This window comes from Homo sapiens, chromosome 15 (genome assembly GCF_000001405.40).
Source record: "Homo sapiens chromosome 15, GRCh38.p14 Primary Assembly".
In the NCBI taxonomy this organism is placed as follows: domain Eukaryota; kingdom Metazoa; phylum Chordata; class Mammalia; order Primates; family Hominidae; genus Homo; species Homo sapiens.
The window spans coordinates 36661273-36686008 of record NC_000015.10 but is presented as its reverse complement, the minus strand read 5'-3'; the positions used below and the strand labels follow the sequence as shown (position 1 = coordinate 36686008).

Genomic DNA, 24736 nt, shown 5'->3' with positions numbered 1-24736 from the left:
GGAATCGCCACACTGACTTCCACAATGGTTGAACTAGTTTACAGTCCCACCAACAGTGTAAAAGTGTTCCTATTTCTCCACATCATCTCCAGCACCTGTTGTTTCCTGACTTTTTAATGATTGCCATTCTAACTGGTGTGAGATGGTATCTCATTGTGGTTTTGATTTGCATTTCTCTGATGGCCAGTGATGATGAGCATTTTTTCATGTGTCTGTTGGCCACATAGATGTCTTCTTTTGAGAAGTGTCTGTTCATATCCTTTGCCCACTTTTTGATGGGGTTGTTTGTTTTTTTCTTGTAAATTTGTTTGAGTTCACTGTAGATTCTGGATATTAGCCCTTTGTCAGATGAGTAGGTTGAGAAAATTTTCTCCCATTTTGTAGGTTGCCTGTTCACTCTGATGGTAGTTTCTTTTGCTGTACAGAAGCTCTTTAGTTTAATTAGATCCCATTTGTCAATTTTGTGTTTTGTTGCCATTGCTTTTGGTGTTTTAGACATGACCACATACTTGGAAGTAAAGCTCTCCTCAGCAAATGTAAAAGAACAGAAATTATAACAAACTATCTCTCAGACCACAGTGCAATCAAACTAGAACTCAGGATTAAGAATCTCACTCAAAACCGCTCAACTACATGGAAACTGAACAACCTGCTCCTGAATGACTACTGGGTACATAACGAAATGAAGGCAGAAATAAAGACGTTCTTTGAAACCAACGAGAACAAAGACACAACATACCAGAATCTCTGGGACGCATTCAAAGCAGTGTGTAGAGGGAAATTTACAGCACTAAATGCCCACAAGAGAAAGCAGGAAAGATCCAAAATTGACACCCTAACATCACAATTAAAAGAACTAGAAAAGCAAGAGCAAACACATTCAAAAGCTAGCAGAAGGCAAGAAATAACTAAAATCAGAGCAGAACTGAAGGAAATAGAGACACAAAAAGCCCTTCAAAAAATTAATGAATCCAGGAGCTGGTGTTTTGAAAAGATCCACAAAATAGATAGACCGCTAGCAAGACTAATAAAGAAAAAAAGAGAGAAGAATCAAATAGACGCAATAAAAAATGATAAAGGGGATATCACCACCGATCCCACAGAAATACAAACTACCATCAGAGAATACTACAAACACCTCTACGCAAATAAACTAGAAAATCTAGAAGAAATGGATAAATTCCTCGACACATACACTCTCCCAAGACTAAACCAGGAAGAAGTTGAATCTCTGAATAGACCAATAACAGGATCTGAAATTGTGGCAATAATCAATAGCTTACCAACCAAAAACAGTCCAGGACCAGATGGATTCACAGCCGAATTCTACCAGAGGTACAAGGAGGAGCTGGTACCATTCCTTCTGAAACTATTCCAATCAATAGAAAAAGAGGGAATCCTCCCTAACTCATTTTATGAGGCCAGCATCATTCTGATACCAAAGCCTGGCAGAGACACAACCAAAAAAGAGAATTTTAGACCAATCAATATCCTTGATGAACACTGATGCAAAAATCCTCAATAAAATACTGGCAAAACGAATCCAGCAGCACATCAAAAAGCTTATCCACCATGATCAAGTGGGCTTCATCCCTGGGATGCAAGGCTGGTTCAATATATGCAAATCAATAAATGTAATCCAGCATATAAACAGAGACAAAGACAAAAACCACATGATTATCTCAATATATGCAGAAAAGGCCTTTGACAAAATTCAACAACCCTTCATGCTAAAAACTCTCAATAAATTAGGTATTGATGGGACGTATTTCAAAATAATAAGAGCTATCTATGACAAACCCACAGCCAATATCATACTGAATGGGCAAAAACTGGAAGCATTCCCTTTGAAAACTGGCACAAGACAGGGATGCCCTCTCTCACCACTGCTATTCAACATAGTGTTGGAAGTTCTGGCCAGGGCAATTAGGCAGGAGAAGGAAATAAAGGGTATTCAATTAGGAAAAGAGAAAGTCAAATTGTCCCTGTTTGCAGACGACATGATTGTATATCTAGAAAACTCCATTGTCTCAGCCCAAAATCTCCTTAAGCTCATAAGCAACTTCAGCAAAGTCTCAGGATACAAAATCAATGTACAAAAATCACAAGCATTCTTATACACCAACAACAGACAGAGAGCCAAATCATGAGTGAACTCCCATTCACAATTGCTTCAAAGAGAATAAAATACCTAGGAATCCAACTTACAAGGGATGTGAAGGACCTCTTCAAGGAGAACTACAAACCACTGCTCAAGGAAATAAAAGAGGATACAAACAAATGGAAGAACATTCCATGCTCATGGGTAGGAAGAATCAATATCGTGAAAATGGCCATACTGCCCAAGGTAATTTACAGATTCAATGCCATCCCCATCAAGCTACCAATGACTTTCTTCACAGAATTGGAAAAAACTACTTTAAAGTTCATATGGAACCAAAAAAGAGCCCACATCGCCAAGTCAATCCTAAGCCAAAAGAACAAAGCTGGAGGCATCACACTACCTGACTTCAAACTATACTACAAGGCTACAGTAACCAAAACAGCATGGTACTGGTACCAAAACAGAGATATAGATCAATGGAACAGAACAGAGCCCTCAGAAATAACGCCGCATATCTACAACTATCTGATCTTTGACAAACCTGACAAAAACAAGCAATGGGGAAAGGATTCCCTATTTAATAAATGGTGCTGGGAAAACTGGCTAGCCATATGTAGAAAGCTGAAACTGGATCCCTTCCTTACACCTTATACAAAAATCAATTCAAGATGGATTAAAGACTTAAATGTTAGACCTAAAACCATAAAAACCCTAGAAGAAAACCTAGGCAATACCATTCAGGACATAGGCATGATGATTTCTTTAGTAGTTCTCTCAAAGAATGTTTAAACTTAAACAATATATAATCTTTATCAGTAACATCTTTGTTGTTTTACATATAAATAAATTGAAATACATTCACTCCAATCAGGAAGCCTCCCTCTAATACATCACTCAGCTAATGAGCTGCTCAATGACTGTTACTTCAAAGTCTATCTGCTCTTTTTTTACACAATTCTATCAGCCTCCCATGTTATTGTGTCTGTTATTTTTGTTCAACAATCTTGTTTGTAATACAATTTCCCAATTAGTCTCTACGGTGTTAAATTTTATGTGTCAACTTGACTGGGCGATGGGGTACCCAGATATTTGGTCAAACATCATTCTTTTCTTTTTTCTTTTTTTTTTTTTTTTTTTGGCAGGGTCTTGCTCTGTTGCCTAGGATGGAGTGCAGTGGTGTGATCTCAACTTACTGCAGCCTCAACCTTCCAGGCTCAATATACCCTCCCATCTCAGTCTCCCTGGTAGCTGGGACTACAAGTGCATGCCACCACAACCCCAGCTAATTTTTGTTTTTTTTTTTTTGTAGAGACAGGATTCTCCATGAGGTCCTGAACTCTTGGGCTCAAGCAATCCACCTGCCTCAGCTTCCCAAAGTGCTGAAATTACAGGTATGTGTGACCTTGCCCAGCCCAAACATCATTTTGGGTGCGTCTGTGAGGGTATTTCTGGATGACATTAAAATTTGAATGTAAACTGGGTAAAACAAATTGCCCTCCCTAATGTGGGTGGGCCTTATGCAATCCATTGAAGGACCGACTAGAACTAAAAGGCTGAGTAAGACAGAATTCTTTCTGCCTTGGAGCTGAAACATTAGTTTGCTTCCTGTCTGTGAACTCTAACTGAAACCTTGGCTCTTCCTGTGTCTCAAGCCTGCTGGCCTTCAGACTGGAACTACAACCACTGGCTCTTCTCATTCTCAGGGCTTTAGCCTGGAACTGGGACTACACTATCAGTTCTCCTGGGTCTCCAGCTTGTCAACTGTAACTCGAGGCTTATCAGACTCTATAATTGTATAAATCAATTACACACACACACACACACACATACACACACCCCTCCTATTGGTTCTGTTTCTCTGGAGAACTCTAAGAGTTGATTTCCATTTTTTTAAACACTCAACGTTTATTTAAATTTATCAACACATTTGCCGTATTTCCTTTTTCAGCATTGCTTCTTGAATCCCATTCTCTGCTTTTGGATTCAATATCCTTGTTACTGAAGCATTTCATTTATTAGTTCTTTCATCTGAAATCCGTGAGCAGTAAAAATGTTTTAGTCTTGCCTTATGTAAAAATATCTGTACTTAGTTCTCACTCTTGAATAATAATAAAACATAGTATACAATTACAGGCTAAGGGTCATTTTAATTCAACTCTGGAGATTCTACTCTCTCGGGATCTACCGTTACTTATAAGCACTCTAATGTCAGTCTAAAACTAATCCCTATATATGTAATTTGTCTTTTTATCTCTGATTACTTTTAATATTTTATTTGACATTCAATGGTTTCATCACTGTGTGCCTAGATGTGGCTATTTGTATTTCGTCTGCTTGGAATTAGTTGTTTCATGAAGCTAAGAATATATGCCTTTAACCAATTTGAAAAATTCTGAGTCATTACAGCTTTGTCCTCTATTCTCTCCTCTGAAACTGGTATTAGACATCTGTTAGAAGATCTTATTCTATCCTCTATGTCTCCTACTCTCACAAAGTGTTTGTATTTCCCCTCTCTTCATCCTTGTGTCATATTAAGGATGCTTTCCTTAGAGTCACCCTAGAATTCACTAAATTTTCTTGTAATCTAATTCTTCTAATTTTCTCCTAATCTTTTTGTCTAATACATCACTCAGCTAATGAGCTTCTCAATGACTGTTATTTCATTTCTACATTTTATTTTTTAAAAATCTGCTCTTACAAAATTCTATACCTTTATTTATTCAGTTATTTTTATTTACTCAGTTTATATATATATGCAAATATATAAAATGTTTAGATTTTATACTTTATATACTTTGTCTTATAGTTTATAGTGTCATTTCCTTATCTCTAGTTCATGGTATTCTATTTTTCTTTCTTTCTCTGTCTCTGTCCACTTCTCCATGGTAATTGGTCTCCTCCATTGGCTTGTAAATTTTTATTGGGAGCTTATTTTCAGCAAGAATTGTTTGACCTGCACTGTAGAATTAACCATGACAACGTAGTTTCATGTTTAGTTTTGCAAAGACCAGTTTTATTGTTAATTTCTTTGCTTGGCCTTTCTGCAGTAAACAGGAGCATAAATTTGGACCCAACCCCACAAATAGTGCTGACTTATTTCTAATTTCTATTTGTTCTCTCAATACTGCACAACCCAAGGCCACATCCACCAAGCAAGCTTCCTTGCCATTTTCTCCAAGAAAGTAGAGTTTTTCTAGTCCTTTTTATATGGTTTGAGCTATACATGGAAGCTCAATTCCGGCTCTTAGTTGCATATCTGTCCCCTGGGGAGTTCAAAACCCAAGCCCAGCCCCTCGTGTCTATATCTGAAGTTAGCAATTTCTGTAGATCATTCTGAATACAGGTTCTTTCTCCATTTCTGATACCCAAAGATTTTACTTCTCTTGTTTATACCTGGTCACATATCTTTTAAAGTTTTAAAAATTTTGTCTATCATTTCTATCTTTTTCATGGAAATATGGCCCACTAACAAAAGCTCACTCTGCCGTGTTGTTGAAATTTTTGAAGGCCCTTTAGTAATAAGTTCAGGGGAATACTTATTTACTTTTTTGTTTGTTAACTTTCTTTGGAGCCAGAGTTATAAAACTATACTTAAAAAGATCCTTCTAAGAAGTTGGACTCCCAAACAACAGAAAGAAGGGCAAGTGACAGGCATACGGACAGGATGGGGAGTGCAATCACCTAAACTACTACTAAGGACCTGCCTACTGTTATGGCATCTGGGAAGCCAGGGAAAAGGGAGAATGGTCATTGGTGGCTATAAAATGCATTGTTATCCTGATTCCTCCAACAGCTGCCATGATGTCTCAGGCCAAAGCACTGTGCTAATCATCAAGCTTGGGAAAGAAGACAACTTGTTTCTGTGGATGTGAGAATCAGTTCTATTAGATTCTCAAATATAACCCTCCGTTTTTTGGGTAGAGTGCTTTAAACAATTTCTCAACATGCTCATTATTTGGCAATTTGGCCTTGGCTCAGTGGAGACAATTTGCTCTTCCTGTGGTCTCCACTGGGGTGCATCACCTGGGTGCTGAAGGATTCACTTTGGTGGCGGCTCACTTGCATGTCTGCCATGTGGGTGAGGGGCCCTGGCTTCCTGACACAAGACTTAGAGAAGTAAGGCTTCCCTAAGGTCTGTTTGGGCTTCTCCTTGAAAAGGTTGGTGGGTTCCAAGAGCAAGCATCCCCAGATAATGATGCATAAGTTTAAGACCTCTTATGATCTAGACTTGAAAGTCATATAACAGGACCAATATTTTTATTTACATCTTCCTCAAAAGAAGAAAAATATGTCTTCCTTGAAAAAAGGTAAACTAGGAAAGACATGCAGAATAACACTTTCAAACAGACAGGCAGTAAGGATAAGCGGTTATGAGCAGAGTCTAGAATCAGACAGACTTGGTTCGAGGCCTGGCTCTTCCAGCTACTAGTCATGTTATCTTAACAAGTTAATGTTGACACCTCTCAGTATCCTTGTTTGTAAAAGAGAATAACATTGGTGCTTACCTTGCAGGGCTGTTGTGAAGATGAAATAAAATAACACACTGTTATGAACTTGGGCTGTTTGAGACTTGGGATGTTATAGTTGATTTGATGAGATGTTTATAAAGTCAGGGCCCTGCCATAGGCTTGAGAGACAGCCAGAAGTCAATCTATTCAACAGGCAAAATTTGCCAATGCCAGATTGATACTCCCATCTTACATCCCCACTCCCCCACCCCAGCCCATACACACATACACACTCTTTTGTGGCACTCAGTGCACAATCCACTACTAAAAGTGGGCTTGAAAAGAACTAGGTAGAAGTCCTTTCTACTTCTGTGTGTATTAGGTGAATGTGTTGTCACTCTTGGAAACTTTGTTATTTAAGTCTTGTCTATAACGACATAATAGAAGAATTTTCCCCCAGCTAAGGGCATTTCAAGTATTAGCAACCAAGCAAGTAAAGACTTTCCCAAGAATAACTAATATCACATCCATTTTTATAGCTCTTGCTTTCCTTAGCATGAGGTCAGAGAAGTAGCCAGCTACTGCTAGAAGAAACTGAGGCAAACAAGCAGGTGAAACATCTGCGCTCTCAAGATCCCGAAAGTCCTGCCTACTGCAAAGAATGCCTTTTGATTAGGCTGCACTTGAACTAAAACAAAAACAAGACCATATATCGTTGGGATCCCTAATCTAAGATCTCAAATAGGTTTAAGCAAGATAGGGGAACTAGTATGGACTGATTGTGTACTGGATGGCAGCAGTCAGGGAGAAGAAAGGATGTGTGAAGGAAGGACAGACATAGGGATAAAGATGAGAAGGAAAAGTCATGCACAGTCAGAGCTGTGTTGTGAGAGCCTAGTTCTCTCCCCACTTAAAACACACACACAAACAGACTCTGCAACTGAACAGCTGGATGGATATGGAAACTGCTGCTGGCAATACTCCCAAGGTACACCAGGAGCTTTGCCTCTTCATGTGGCTGCCCCAGGGGCTGAACTCCAAGACAGCAAAGCCTAAATACCAATTAGTATTTCATCTTTTCTTCCAATGATGGTTTAACGCCTTTGGATATCATGGTCACTAAAGTCCCAAGCTACATCTCCACAGGGGTTGACCTGCCAGTGTCTTTCCTGAACAATTTCCATATTGCCAGTGGCCTGCAGGAGCCTACTTGCCCTTGCAGTTGGAACTACTCCTCAAGAATTCTAAGCACTAGCCCACTGGCTCTCCCACTGCATAAAAGTGAAATCTAAAGCAGTTTGATCTCATTTGACAATCTGAATAAGAAATATCTTTTAACATTAGGGAATCCTATAGGGACAAATTAAATTATTCTCTCCAACTAGCACATAATCATGTAAGAAATAACTTAGACTAGAGCTATCAAATATAAAAGTATTATGTAAGGACAAGAGGAAGATATCTCCAAAGCATGAGTGTTCAGACTGATCGGAACCTTGTCTCAGGCAACTTGCAGCCTTATAGCCGCTATATGCCACCAATCCTTATCCAACAAGCACACATTCAACAAACATTGAGAAAGCACCTGGTTAATGCTATGAATATACTGAATTCTTCTCCACACTCACACACACAACTTCCAAATCTGGAATTTTTTTTCCTGACTTTCCTTTGGCTAAAACTTTGAGGCCTGGTTCAATGTTTACCTCCTCCATTAAAGCCTTCTCTTATTTTTTTCCAATCCACTTGCCTTCCTCTCCCTCATATTGTGGAATGGAGAGAACTCATATTGTGTATCAATCATTGGGCACTTGATTAAATGTCACTTTGTCAACTGATGACAAGAGATTGATCAGGATGCTGAAATGTTAAATCATGCCACATTAAAAAGGTGTCAATATTTTCTTAATATTGTCTTTAAGTATCTGGGGGTTTTCACATGGAAGTAGATTGAGGCTCATCATGTGGTCACCCCTAAGAAGACAAGAAAGAAATCTCACAAGTTTATTATTGGTGGTGAGGCTACAAGGTTTCAGATTTCAAGCTTGGATTTATGTGGCCCTTATTTAGTCTAAACAGATGATTCTTAACCTTTTCTTTTATTCATTAGGACCCACCTCAGAAGACTTCTTATTTTTTCTTACTTGCTCCCCCCATGAAATTTTAATGCCACAGATATGCTGCATATCTGTTTACACAATCTCACCCCCTTTGAGAATGCATGGTTCACATGGAGGATTAAGGAATTGTTTTTGTCAGGGTATTTGGCAAGCTGCTTAAAAGCAGAAAGCTTATTTGTTACCACTCCAAAGCCACTTTGCACAAAATAGCTACTCAACAAACTGCTGAATAAATACATTTATGAACACACTGCCAAAGGAAAGAGAAGACTACTCTTTCTCATAGGATACAATGGATCTTGAGGTAAACCGTGAAAACATCTAATGACTCATCTCCCAAAGAGGACTGCTTATCACTGGTATAGGTATGTGAAGTGACCTTACTAGCACACATTTTTGTTGTTGTTGTTAACAGTTATATAGTACTTTTATAAATAGTTTAAACTTACGGTAAGAGATTCCATGGTATTACCTCCTCCCTCCTGGATTTTCCTCCAATTCATATATTAGCAATTAAAGTTTCAAGCTAGTGCTCCATGCAGAGCAAATATAGGGCCACATAATGAAGGGAAGCCCTCTTCTGGGCTCACTGGGGCCCAACATGAGAGGTGAGATACAGGTAAAGCGAAAACTCCCATTCAAGATCAGAGGAGAAAGTTCATGGCAGCAAAGACCTACCGAAATTTACTGGGGTATCCAGAAAGCCTGATGAGATCAAATGTCTTATAGTCTATGAAAAGAAAGAAAACTGGATGCTTCTAAAGGTGATACCACAGTGGCTACTGGTATGACCAAGTCTGTATTATTCAATGAGACAAGGGCAAGTCTCTGCTTTGCAAGTTGATGACTTCAAGAAGCCTCTCTAATAATTCCCTCTGGTAGCCTGCTCATTTATGTCTCTTGTGTTTCCAATTGCTGGCAAAGGCCCATACAACATCATGGTGTCTGCCTCAGTGCATAATTAGAAAGCAGTTAATTCTAAGTCATTAAAAATGTTGCCCAGGATTGGAAGTATTCAAGGAAAGGGGGCACAAAAGTGTGTTCTTTTTCGGCAGGCTCCCGAATCTAACGGGAAAGAACAACCTAAACTTTATATCTTAAATTGTAGGAGAGGGATAGGTAGGTGAGCAGAGGCGAAATTTCAAGGCATGTTAAACGATATGAAAATTCAAACACTTTTAGTATGCTGAAAGAAACATTTCCTGGGAACTAAACCCATGTGACTAATTACAGCCAGGGACAGTGCTTCTATTCAGAAATAACTTTCGTCTAATTCTCCTGAGAAAAATCTCAACAACTTTCAAGGAAAACACCGCTATTCAATTTCTGCCCATTATCCAACACAGAGATCTATCTTTCTTGCACTTTATTAGGTACCAAAAAAAAAGTCAAAATTCTATGTGTCAAACAACCTATGCAACGAAGGCGAGGTACAGGTCAGCTTCATTTTAAGGAGAGACAAATACCATAAAAATATCCTACCAGGTTAACATATTTTTGCAGCGGTTTCAAGATTCTCTTGAGTTTTCAAGAAAGCTTACATTTTGGTCCCTCAAGCAAATGAGCTATTCATTTAAATGAACAAGTTAGTAGCCTGATCTAAAAATAGTTGTACAATTAACAGTGTACTATATAATTAAAATCCGTATATCATTAAATGATGCGGATGTTAACTTCACTATGAATTCTTTATGTAATGAGACAGTTAAAAGATACATTTCTTCAGTTGTAATTAATCTTTCAGCAAGGCCGCTGAGCACAATGGCAGCACAATGCTGTGCCAAAGTGAGAGATAGAGTTTACAAAAAGACATGCTGCAAACTCTTGGGGCTCTGGAAACAAAGTGTGTTAAGGGAGAAGGGCAATTAGTCTCTGAAGCAACACTTGTTCTGTAAGCATCACCTTTGGACACCCCAAATGACAGAGGAGTGCTAGAAACTACTCCATAGAAAACAGATGATTTGCATTTTGTACCCTTGGCAATTTTTTACAGTGGCCGTGGTCAACAGAACAGTTGAAGACAGGGATGAGGAATTTAATACATTTTTAAGAACTGAAGAAATTACTCCCACAGTGCAGCAATTAAGTGTAAATTAAAAGAACCATTTAATTACATTTTTTGCTGACTTTAGCAGAAAAAAATGTTAATAGTCACCAATAAAAATGAATATGAACCCAAAACATCTATAAATTAAGCACCATTATGCCAGGATAATAAGAACATTCATGTTTAGATTATCACATACAGCTGCAGTATCCTGAGCTTGGAGTATTTCAGTGGCCTCACGAACTTCTTTCTTCGTTATGAGGGGAAAAAGGGTTGATGTGAGAACAAAGTACTGTCAGCAATCTACCCTTTAAACTGCTCAGACCTGGAAGGCACACTCATTGCTTTATTTCTTTGCTCATTTTTCTCGGAGATTGGTACATCTGAAAAACCTTTCTACAGATCTATACAGCACTACCGTTCAGCAAGAAAAAGAGAGTTATATTTTCCCCTTGAGTTAGGACGCCTCATGACAAACGATAATGGATAATCAATAAACTGGGAAATATGAGGCCACAAACTTTATGAAGCCAAGAGACATATTACTTCTGAACAACACTCATTTCCCTTAACAAAGTCACTACTAGACTGTGCCTAATAATCTGAAAGAAAATCAAAGGACCTGCAACCACATCAGCAATATTGGCAACTTATTCCACTTTAATGGCATTTTGATTGATTTTTCTGCCTAATGGTAGTTTTATACTGTACATTTGACGCTGCTTCTGCAAAATAGTTGTGTGTAATAAACATCCCCGAAGGCAAACAGTGAACATTAAGGTTCTTGTCTTACTAGGAATCATAATTGAAGCTTGACCAACATTGCCTTTGGCCTTTTAAAAGAAATCTTTTTGCAAAAGCTATTCCTTTCTGTTTTTCCTTTCTATGAAGGACCTGATATGTGGTCAAGGCATTTTGTTTAAAAAATTCATAAAGAGGCTGACCTTGACAATGACTTTGTGTGTTTCAGTAAAGCATTGACCTGCTGGAAATGGAGACCCCCGCGCTAATAAATCAAGCACATTTAAAATGAGTTACCCTAATGCTCATTCATCACAGCTGTAATGCCATTTGCAGCAGAGGATTCGCCGTCCTGCGCAAACACTGCAGTAAATAATAACACTTGAACATCTCTGCATCATTGCAGGTTCCAACACCACAAGCATACGCTTATTAAGGAGCCTTTATTAGACAGCGTATTCTCACCTAACAGGCCAGATCATGGTAAGGTTAAGAGAAATATATACGGCTTTTTCAAAAGAGGAATGTGACACTTTCATAACTATATATTCTTTTATGTGGAGTGTGTGTATGTGTGTATGTACTAGAGAAAAATTCCGTTACTTTCAGGAAAAAAAAATCTCATTCTCACCTAATTTCTTAAACATCCCACCCCCTTTACAGTGTGTGTTTCTGAATTCCTTACTCTATACAAAAGCATGAGCATCAGTCTAAGAAATGTCCTTGCCACCTCAATGCACACTAGAATTTTGTTCAAATGTGGAAGCCTTTTATTTGGTATAGTATAGTTTTCATAATCACCCACCCTGCCAAATTTTTTTTTTCCATCTTTATCTACCAAAAAGGGATGTTGAAAACACAAAAAAGGGCCATTCAAAGCAAAGTAGTTTTGACAATTTATACGATTCAGCTCCAGAGAAGCATACTGGCTGGTTTGGTACATTTTGTACAAGAAATTTGCATTTTTCTCTGGGATGAAAATGCCATTAACTAAATTAAAAAATAGGAAAGAAATCTCATTAGAAGGCAACATTTGTTGCAGGAGGAATGCAATAAACAATAATGAATGACAATCGTTATTACTCTTGACACTGATGAGCTCCTGAGCAAATTTGTTTATTAATTAAAAACGTACTTTTTTGCACACAACTCATTGAACTGCAAAGATGCTCATATATCAAACTTCATCTCAGATGGAGATAATGCACGATGGTAAAGCTGATTTTCCATGATGAATCTCAGAGCATATAAATTGGCTAATATCTGAAAACATTTACAGATACTAGAGGAATTGACTACTTGTAGGACATGATGAATGGGCCTTTCAAACACCCGGAGACAGCTCTGCAAATCTCCCCGGCTGCTAAAGCCCTCATTTGATTTTCCAATTTACTCCTCTTAAATTTATCTTCCCACTAGAAATAAAAAGTGCTGATACTTTTCCCCAGTGCCATCCCAGAGAAGATGACTCCAAAGGGTTACTCTGGCAGAACTAATCTGCTTACACCTGCTCTTCCTCACCTGACAGAGCCGGGACCTTCTAATGCCTTTTCGTCTGATCATTAAACTGAACTGAATATGCCTTCAGATCCACGTGAAAGAGAGTAATTAGTATACTTGTCAAGCCAGGTACAGCCCTGCTTACCCTGCTTTTTTTCCCTCCAGCAGCTAATGAACTGCTCCCATCTCATTATTCAAAAATAAAAAGGCACTTAGTATACTATGAACTGATTTCCCTTGCCTTTTTTTTTTTAAAGAAGTAACAAGATTCGGCGCTGATCAACCCTACCATTAAGTTGACAAAGTGATGAATATGCTTCTGGATTGGTGAAAAGTTAGCCATTTGGTAGTCTGAGATGCTACTAAACTATTTTACAAGACAACCTGGAGTATACTTCCTTGCTTAATTGAATTTGAGACCTCCCCCCACCCCAACCAAATCGATCAAATTAGTTATTCTCCACCTTTATACACACAGGTGTTCAGCATGTTTGCACTGTTCTATTTCCCCCCATAGCACTTACCACCTTAATATACTGCATTATTGATTTCTTTATATGTGTATGATTGGCCTTCACTGCTAGGATGCAAGCTCCTGGAGGACAGGGATTTTGTCTGTTTTTGGCTTTCCTGAGATCTCCCAAGAGCCTGTAATAGTACCTGGCACACAGAGGTACTTAAATATTGTTGAATGAAAAAGAAAATTCATATTGATACAGAGATCCTTTGATGTTACAATAAAAAAAGTATAACTACTCTAAGAGTTTAAAATTTCAAAACTTGTTTTCTTTCATATTATAGTGAGGAAAAAAGGAAACATTCAAGACATGTTTCATAGAAAAAGAATACAGTAAAAAGAAACAGTACAAAAAACTGTTTTCTCCCTATTTCAAAAAAAAAATGCTAAGTGAAATTCTAAAAATTTAAACTAATAAAATTTAACATTCCACTTTTTATGCCAAAGCAAGCTGACATTTTGAATGTTTCAAAATTCTGCCTACTCTATTTTAATTCCTGGTGGGGAAAAAAACAACATTGCCAAGGTCAAACAAATTTCAAAACATCAAAATCCATAAAATGATTAATTAAAACAGTGCACATTTTTATCCCTTAGAAGAAACCAAAACTGATGTATTCTGAAGTTCTTCTAGACCCAAAGGTGATTCCACATTGTTTACATGACTGCACACAACACAAGGCTCAATTTTCAGAACTGTCAAACACACCTGCTATAGGTACAAATAAAATCTTCTCAAAGGAAGACAATTGTAAGAGGAACAGTACCTAAAAAACATCAACATTAACAATAAAATCTTTCAAAATCGGTGCCTGACGAATGAACTAAATCCTAGCTGATCACATGATCATATGGCCTGCTCAAGGAAGAAACTGGATAATATGTTTGCTGAGTAACGATTTTGATCTAAATTGAACATGCAGCTGTGAGGACCTCATCTGTCCTACTAGAGCCTAAGTCTCTAGAAAGTAGATAACCCAATTCAGCCAAAAGAACCAGCTTTCCATGGGGTGGGGGTGGTATATGTTCAGTAAACAAAAAAAAAGAGAAACACACACACAATATGTCAGAATGATTTTAAAAAATAAGACAGGAAATATTAAAAACAAAAAAATCTGCCCTTTTTTCATCCACTTGTCAACCTAATTTCCCCCAATCCTTTTGCCTTTCATACTTTTGCTAAAGATACCGTTTTCTACCTTCCAGGCAAAAAGCAAGACAAGCAACCCCAGACAAAGAATATTGCCAATGCCAGTGCTGACTCAAAGAACACGCAACAGATGAATGGTTTCGTGACTGGTGCAGCTACTTCCTTCATCCCCAAGGACAGAACGGCCTCTTCCCTGTGTGGCTGCACTGGAAGGAGAAGACAATCTGTTGCTAAATACCTCAGAATAAGGCCACACATTAATGTTCCCTCTTTCACATACTACAAATAATTCAGAGACTTTTCCTATTTTCTTGTTTCAGATACAACTAGAGACAAACAAAAACACAGAGGAAATGCTGCTGGATACTATTAAAGTGGTAAGAATAAGTTTTCGCTCAAGTTACAACCTTAGTGTTCTCAACTGGCAGATTATTAAACACAATATACTCTTTTCTCTCTTATTTAGTGTTTTTTTTTCCTCATGTAAATAAAAATGCTAAAAGTCTAAACTGAAGCAACTAAATATACAAAATATCATTTAAAGGAATATTCCTAAAGAAGCTACACTTTTCTCTATCTCATTCTTTACCAATGTTCACAGTCTGAAAACAGGAACAGCTACAATGGACAGGCAGAAAACCAAGATTAAAACAAGAAATAATTCAAAAATAAGTCAAGTAAAAAGGCTATAGGAAATTCTTACCATCCATACCTTGTAGACAAAGGTATTCACTGATCATCCAGCATTTTTGATAATTTACGGAGAGAAGAGTGATGACTGAAGCATAAAAAAGAACTCAAAGGTCTGGTTTTAAAAGGAATTCACCTGTATATTGATGGCCTCACTTCAAAACTGTTGCTTCTAAATAATCAAAACTACTTGATATGCAAAAACAAAATCAACCCGAAATACAAAGGTGTCTGTTAATAAATATAATAGATTTGTCAAAATTTAGGTCAGATTGAGGAAATTTACTTTTGATACTTATCAGGCCTCTTTATTAACAAGAGTAACTAACGAAAGAGTTTATCTGTGTTCTTGAAGAGGAGCGCTACTCTGGACTTCTGTTAAATAGTTTATCACTGAAATGAATAGCAGACAAGGATATATGTTTGCTCAGTTTATGGGTAACACAGACAAGAGAAGAAGGAGTATGGAATTAAAAGAAAAAATTAAAATGTATGCTACAAATTTAAGTTCTAAATCTAAATAAAAGTTGTTTAGTGGGACTGTATCTCAAAATTATACATATATGTAAGTTCAAATATAAAAATGATAAATAAACAGGGAGAGGAGACTAAACTTCCTTACAGAAGAAACCCAAATAATATCTCTCCACACTCCTCTCTCCAGAAGGCAGAGTTTAATCATTCTCCTCAACTTGAGTGTGTACTAAATTTAGTGACTTGCTTCCAAAGAAGAGAGTATGGAAAGGGAAAAATAGTAATTTTACAATGGAGAAATCTAGCAAACACTAACCTAACCAACAGATTAAGGTTAACATAACCAGTGATAAATCATGTTGATACCACATACCCCTTGATATGATATAATGATAAGGGAACTTCACCTTATTCTTCCCCAAATCTATGAGAAAAACCTTAGACACATCCAAATTGAAGGCATTATGCAGAATATCCTCTGCAAAAACATCATGACCATCAAAAACAAGAAAAGATTGCTTTCACACACCAGAGGAGACTTGGGAAACAAGACAGCTAAATGTAATGTGGAATCCTGGATTGGGTACTGGTGAAATTTGAATTACGTCTGGAGTGCAATCAATAATAGTAAGGTACCAGTGAGGGTTTCTTAGTGTTGACAAATGTATCACAGTAATATAAGATGATAACATTAGGGATAACTAAAACTGAGTGATGGATATAGGCAGAACTCTCTGTACTATCTTTGCAACTTTTCTGTAAGTCTAAAATTATCCCAAAATAAAATTTTATTTTAAAAAAGTAAAAGCTTTCTATTAGACTTGCTTCTCCCAGAAATGACCTTATGACAAACTTAACCCTTTCATTACCACTAAAAACATCAACCCCTGTTACTTTTGAGAATGTTGGTTATAAGAATTCCAGAAGTATAAGATACAAGTATGGGTAATTACAGCAGGAAAAAAGTAAATTTCAATAGTGCATATGCAGATAGATCTAAACATATGCTGTTGTTTTGTTACTATAAGATATAATAAATTAGAAAACGAATTCAGGAAATTGAGGCCAGCCTCCATTCTATGTAGCTTTCATAAGACCATAATTAATTTCCGCCCATACAGAGCATCGTAAACATTATTTCAAGAGGTTTCCGAAAAGGATCTCTAAAATTATCAGAGAATTCACAATTCAAGAGTACCTAACGAAGAAGAAGGGAAATTAATCCTTCATATGGCTCAAGTGTAAGTATTTGTTGGAATATTACTGCCTATTACTATAAAAATCATGATTCTTTGAGTGCCTACTATGTGCCAAGTAACATGCCAGGCAATTTACAAAATCATCTTTAATCTGTTTAACTTTGAAAGGTAAATGTTGTTATCTGATTTTAAAGAAGAGCAAACTAGGGCTCTGGAAGACTTCACCCAGGATGACAGCTAGTATAGGATCAAACTGGGACTCCAACTCGACATATTGTGGAAATATGCACCAATGATAATAGGTGAGATTTAGGTAAAAAGAAGAAAAACTTTTATGACAGTAAGAGATGCTAAACACTTGGGCAATATCTAAACAATGCAGTCGATTTACATTCATTAAATAATGGAGAGAGGATGAATCTGAAATCAGAAGACACAGATTCTCCCACTCGTTCATTGCTTTTGTTTGTTCATTTGTGCATTCAGGCATGTAACAAGAGTAAGCAGGACATGTAGGCTTGGGTTTTCCAAGTTCAAGTCCCAGCTCTTGTCCTTTCTAACTGTATGACTAAGCTGGTCACTTAACCTGAAATTCAGTTTATCATTTATAAAATGCAATCATAACATTTGCCTTAGCTATGTCAGAGCTATTTATGTGTCAAATAAAATATATCAAAACTTCTTATAAACTATAAAGTTCTATTGAAATGTTTTACATGTTAGCTACAAAATTTCTTGATACCCTCTCAACCCTAGAGTCACAAGGAAATGGTAGGTACATTATCAACAAAATATTCACCTCAAGTCAACAAATATTTATGGATGTATCTAGGCAATGAACCAAGACAAGGAACACTGAGCCCAAGAAAAATTAGTCCTGTACTGATTATATAAAACATCTTCTCAGGCTGAAAAACAAAAACAAGAAATTGGAGATTAGGTGGCTTAGTGAAGAAGACAAAACATTTACCTACACATAATAATCAGTTTTAGCAAGAATAAGTTAGGGAATCCCCTTTAAAATACAAAGGTTAGCTTGTATACAATGACATCACAGATCAACTATAATCCAAGAGGCCAACACATAGGTCCTGAATGAAGCAGAAATTACCTACAATCTACTTGACGTGTTGTATTTTATGTTCTTGTAAAGAAAATAGCTCATATTGTCTGCATATTTTTATCTGGCTAATGAAAAAATACTATTCATATTTTCCAAGAATGTTGTTCATCAAGCTTCTTAAGCAAAATAGTATTAACAACTAAAATAAGAGCTATAAGGTGAAGCACAAAAGAAAAACTTCGTATCATCTCATTCTTAAATATATTAGCGTCTTCTCATGAATAAGAAGAAAAGTGGAATTCCTAAATTCTCAAACTGTGACGTAATATTGGTTTTATTGATTCTCTGTACAATTTGTAGGAGTACCCAATCATTATTTTGACAGTTTTATCATAAAGTAATAGACTTCCTTTTAGATAATTGGCAGTTACCACATTGAATTTCAACCTTCCATAGGATTTCTTCCTAGATACAGCTTTACTGTCTGTCCTAGATCACATTACTTTCTTTTTATAGCTGTACACACAAAGCGTTTTAGGTGCTACACCTAATTATGTCAGCACAATAACAATTTAAAAGCTCATGATTAAGAAATAAAGGTTAAGCACTTACATGTTAAGGCTCCTTTTTACAAAGACATATAGTGCTATGTGACATAAGTAAATGAATTACACAAGCACTTAAAAGTGTGTTGGAGGATTACAAAAAATAAGAGCTCTTTTTGGGTAAACTGGGGAATTTGATGAGTTTGTCCAGGCAAGGACATTTGTTACCTACAGTATTGACTTGCAAGCTTTCTGACTCATGAAAATGATTTGCTACGTAACTAACTTTCAGAAGACAAAACTGTGCTATAAAATATATTTTTCCAAAGGGGAGTAGTTGAGCATAATTGTGAGGAGCACAGGCTCTGGAATCACATTGTCACTGCTCACTGCATGACCTGCAGCAAATCACTTAAGCTCTGGGTACCTCGGTTGCCTCATCTGTAGATGGGGATAATACTACTACTTGACTTATAAAGTTGTTATGAGGAATAAATATCCAAGTAGGTAAAGCACCTAGAAAGTACCTGGTATATAATATGTGCATATTAAGTGTCAAATTTTATTATCATTGCTTATTTGAACTGCCTTAAGCAGCTAATAACCAAATAAGGACATGAGAAAGCATTAAAACTGACAGCTCATCTAAGACAGTGCATGGAGGTGGCAGAAACATAATGGGAACCAAGAAATGAGCTATTCATGGAATAGGGAAGTTTGGGGCATTCTAACCCAGGAGAAAAAGAAAACTGAAAGTGCATAAGTACTTTGTAGGAAGAATGAATTAGGCTAAAAGGAAATCTAAATACAGAGGTCCAAATTGGTATCTAAGGATGAAAATCAAATGGGAGAAAATAACACGATTAAACAGAGATCTATACAATAGGCACAATATAACCAAGAACATTGTTCTGACAATCTTGCAGTCTCTGGCAAATGTGTATGTATAGTGAGGGGAAGGGGCAAGTGTTAGCAGGGATGGGATACAGATAAAGATCAGTAGACTGCAGAAGGGAACAACTACAAAGAGACTAGGTTTAGCGGCTAATCAACTTAGCTGTAAAATCCCCTGAAAATACCAGCCATGATAATTCTCAGTCTACTACATTTCATCAGTGGGGGTAGAGGAGAATTACTTGATTTCTGTATTCCATAATTTCCACAATTCCACTCAATAATTATGAAATTGTCAGAAAAAAAAGGCTTTGTGTCTGATAGGCTCAGGCAAAAATTCTATCCCCTAGTAAATTTACCTGATTTTTTTTAAAAGAAGTAAAATAAGAACAGCCCTTTATTAAAAAGAGCAAAGATACAATATAATTTGGCATCCACAGTAACTACTTCCCTTAAGATAAACAAAAAGTACCTCTATTAAGTTATTGTGTTTCTAAAGAAGAAAAACAAATCTGCATGGTTCTGCAATAAATATCCTGGAATAACCAAAAACGTCAAGTCAATATCCCATACAAACACCAAAATGAGAAATATAAACTAAAAAGAGGGTTTTTCTTATGTATCAATATATGTAAATGAAAGTATGTTTTGAAGTTCTAAGAAAATTCCACTGTATTATAAATATTAAAAATAACTTTCTTTAAACAGAAAAAAAAAGTATATGAAATCAGGATTGTACCAGAAAATTTAGCATACATAAGCACTATACATTATGAACCATTTTTGACTTCCATAGTCTTCTTAAGACAAAAGCTCCAGTGGTGGTGGGAAAGACCATCTCTGTCCAAATGAAGCAACATAGGTCATCAATCCTTGATTCTGTGCGTCTCTTCAGGTTGTGGATAAACCCTGCAATCTCTTTGGACCTTCCTTAACTACTCTTTCACCATCCTCTTTCTCTATCCTAACAACCTGTTCACTGATCAGTTTGCTTTTCATATATTTAAATTTTCTTCACGAGTTGAGAAAAATAAAAGGGGAAGAACATTAACCAGTAAAGGTTTTCTATAGTAAGCAGGATTTATAAGCTCAGTAAAATATCAACATTAATAGCCAAGGTAGATTATTTTTGAATTTCAAGAAACCATCCTCTGCTGTACCCACAATCATGGGTTATAGACTACACTTTACACTATAAAGCGTAGTTGAAATCTAATTTCCAACACAGAGCTTCTTGAATGACAAAATCTTTCAATACAATCATTACCGTTAATATTTATCACACAATGCATGTACTCTTATATGTCTTATCCAAACTAGTGAAAATAAGTTATTTTCTCATTTCACCAGTAGTAAAAAGCAAGTCTACAAACAGATACAAGAAAATGCCTAACCAAAGATACGACTTTTTATCAATAAAAGCATAGATTCCAAAATAAGTTCATTCCTACTCCTAGAATTTCATCTGAATTGTCTAGGCCAACACATTTCAAAGGATAAAATATGATACAGTGGAGCTTTCAAGAAATTGAAAACATAGCATCATGCAGAAGCTTTAAAAGTTTGTTAACTAAAACTTTCCTCATGTTTTAATATTTTACAAGAATATAAAAAGCACCCTCATGCAATGCATAAGGAAATAATATTTCCCTCTTAATAAATGTGTAACCAGGCTGGGCGCGGTGGCTCAGGCCTGTAATCCCAGCACTTTGGGAGGCCAAGGCGGGCGGATCACGAGGTCAGGAGATCGAGACCATCCTGGCTAACATGGTGAAACCCCGTCTCTATTAAAAACACAAAAAATTAGCCAAGCGTGGTGGTGGGCGCCTGTAATCCCAGCTACTTGGGAGGCTGAGGCAGGAGAATGGCGTGAACCCGGGAGGCAGAGCTTGCAGTGAGCTGAGAATGTGCCACTGCACTCCAGCCTGGCGACAGAGCGAGACTCCGTCTCAAAAAAAAAAAGTGTGATCAATAAACAGGAGGCTTGCGAACAGTTGGAAGCATTACCCTCTAGAATGAGCTAGAGAAGCTCAATGTATTCACTTCTCAATAAGGTATTCATTCTTGAAATATGTAGGTATACAAATGAAAATTTAATCATTAATAATTTTGTGGATTAAATAAACACTTGAATAATTAAGAATCAAATGAGGGTTCACATGTAGAATGCGGAGTGCTTCCTCCTATTTGAAATTGCTTGGAAAAACCATTCCGTTTATACATGATTCACAAATCTAAATATGGGGCTCTGAGAAAGAAGCCCACACTTCCACATTTATAAAACTCTTCTATAAACTGTGGTCTGGAACCTGAATTTCATAGCCTGAAGTGAATTCCATTTTTTCCCTTCTCTCATTCAAAGCAACTCTTATTCCTCTTAGCATGAGATACCCAACTTTTAAATCTCAGATGCATCCTGGGTTCCTTTTACTTCCTCACTACCAGTATCCAGTAAATTGCCATGTCTACAGACTTTATTTCCTTTATTACTTTCATTGTAAACCGTAGTTCAGACCTGAAGTTTGCTAAAGATAATGCAATAGCTTATTAGTTGGTCTTTCTCACTACACTCAGAATTACCTTACTTCAACACATTTTACAGTGTTGCTGGATCATCTTCAACCTTGGTTCTTAACTGCGGTCAACAACACATAGTTCTGTGTCATGATCTATTACAAAGTGAGCTGCAAGTTATTTATAACTAATACCAAATCTATTTAAAAGTACTTTTAAATAAATGAGAGTTGATTTAGCTATTTCTGTAATAGTACTCTCCTTCGGTTTTATTCCAATTTGCTTCCTTGAGTGGAAGAGAGGTGGTGGAGTTATAGGAAAGTGCTAGGAATTACACAAATCCTGGTTATCTCACAGTTCAGCACGATGATGGTGGAAGGGGAAGCAAACACATACTTCTTCACATGGTGGCAGGAAGGGGAAGTGCCGAGCAAAAAGGAAGAGCCCGTATAAAACCATCAGATCTTGTGAGAACTCACTCACTATTACAAGAACAAAAGCATGGGGGTAACCGCCCCCCATGATTCAATTACCTCCTACTGGGTCCCTTCCACAACACGTGGGGATTACGGGGAACTACAAGATGAGATTTGGTGGAGATACAGCCACACCATTTCAGATATCTTCCGTATCTGTCTTGTTGAAAAGCACTGTCATAAAAAACTAAATAAAAGCTCTCATCAAGTCACTCTGCTATTCAGAACCAACAGTGGCTTCCCATTCCCTGTTAATTTAAATATAAATACCTAGGTCTGGATTTCAGTATCTTCCATCATATAACCCCATCTGAATTTGTCCAACTTTAATTCCCACTAAGATTGTACATACAAACTTTCTTTGTTCATAGAGTTCTCTGTCTTAAATTGTCTTCTCTTGAAGCCTCAATCCATGAGGCTTCCTCTAATTCTACAAACTAGAACACATCTCTTCTTTGATTCCTTTCAAAGAGATGTTTTTACCTCTAAAGGCACAGACAGGATCATAAGTTGGGCATCCCAAATTCAAAAATCTGAAATCTGAAATGCTCCATAAACGTTTTGAGCATTTCAAAGGAAATGCTCATTGGAGCATTTTGGATTTTGGATTTTGGATGCTCATCCAGTAAGTATAATGAAAATATTTCAAATCCAAAAAAAAAAAAAAAAAAACTAAAATCTGAAACACTTCTGGTCCCAGACATTTCAGATAAGGGATACTCGATTTGTGTTACGTACACACATGATACATTCCACTAAACTATGAGTTCTTTGATGAGTTTTATCCTTTCTTCCATCCACTGTAGCACCTAACATAGTGCCTGGAATATAGTTAGGATTCAAATAGCTCTTGACAATCTGCAGAGGAATGAAGAACATGAATTCCAAAGGAATTAATATCCTCTTATTGTTAGAAAGGGACCACTCAAAGTCTAATCAGATCTAAACACCTACTGGATGCCTTCTCATACTTTCTTCTATTAAACTCAGGTTTTGAAGATGATTGTACCATCTTTTGATGGCCTAGCATACTGAAACTCAGGTTTTGAAGATGATTGTACCATCTTTTGATGGCCTAGCATACTGGCAAAAGGTATAAACCAGTTTGTTTGAAAACTAAAATTAAGCTCATTCAAAAAGTAAGAACAAAATTTAGTAATCCCATCAGGGAAATCATAATCCCATTCTGGTGTGTGTGTGGAGGCAGGGATTATACACATTATGTTGAAAAGCACATTCCCTTAAGAAAATAAAGAGGAACTCTACAAAACATTCATCTTTACGGCAAATTACATTCAACTGTATGGCTCAGTTTCAAATGATGTGACTATTAACCTCGGTCTATCCCAAAGCCAGAAAGATTAAACAGCAACATGAAAGAAAGCAAAGGTAAGCTGTATAAAATCTCCAGGACATAAGCAAAAACATCAGTTTATAATGAGGATTGAGGTATTTTCTCAATGGTTCTTCAGAAATTTTAATCTGCCTTATATTCAGACTCAGTAGCAGTAAACATGGTCGATTTACAATTTTATTATAATGTCAACCTCCCTATTAATAATAGTGTTCACCTTATAAGTTATAGAGGATTGATTTTCATAAAAGGACTGAACATTTAGACAATTTTATCCTGTTTAAGGATATTTCCATTATCATGTCTACTCATAAAATTTTCATTAACAGTTTTCTATACTTAGAGTTTTCATTAACAGAGATTTTCTATAATGCTCCTAGTAGAAAGTCACCATTATTAGTGTGAAACTTACTCATTTACTCATCACTCACTCACACATTTAACATTTGAAAGTTAATAGGGAGCAGGACCTGTGCTAAAATCAGGGAGCATTGAACAATAACAAAAAAACAGGTAAAATCACTAGCATTCTTGTAAAAGTTAAGATGGAAAGGTGATCCCAGGGGTAGACTATAAAACATGGGAGTAAAATTTAGCCTTCCTTAAGCAACTCAGTCTGTAACTGGTCAGCACTTTCCAATTATACTCTCAATGCAATTAGAAAACACGGTATAAAACAGAAAAATATGTATTTTGATACTTTGACACTTAAATGATTTGTTAAAAATATAACGACTGACTTTAAAAAAAAAACACATCCAAACAGAGTCTCCCTATTACTTATTATTAATCATAATGTTGTTGGTAATATCCTCTGCTAGGAAGAAAGGCTACTGAGTGGGGTAGGGTTCAATCACTTGGATTGATGGCATGATGAGTGAAGAGCTCTTTATCTCCTGC

At 36.7% G+C, this 24736-nt stretch overlaps 1 protein-coding gene and 1 long non-coding RNA gene across 21 annotated transcripts in view, besides 1 other annotated feature; one reads left to right on the top strand and one right to left on the bottom strand.

The window, feature by feature from the left end:
* Nucleotides 1-24736, bottom strand: part of CDIN1 (CDAN1 interacting nuclease 1) — a 230619-nt gene that overhangs the window by 124236 nt on the left and 81647 nt on the right. The window lies entirely within an intron of this gene.
* On the top strand, nt 3216-17111 carry LOC124903466 (uncharacterized). Its single transcript, XR_007064582.1, has 3 exons — nt 3216-11943; nt 14684-15004; nt 16913-17111. It is a non-coding gene; the product is annotated as an uncharacterized LOC124903466 (long non-coding RNA).
* Nucleotides 12112-13391: an enhancer, noted in NCBI's record as "VISTA enhancer hs828". NCBI's record gives its function as "enhancer in: hindbrain (rhombencephalon)[4/11]" and the evidence as "EXISTENCE:transgenic organism evidence [ECO:0001131][PMID:17130149]".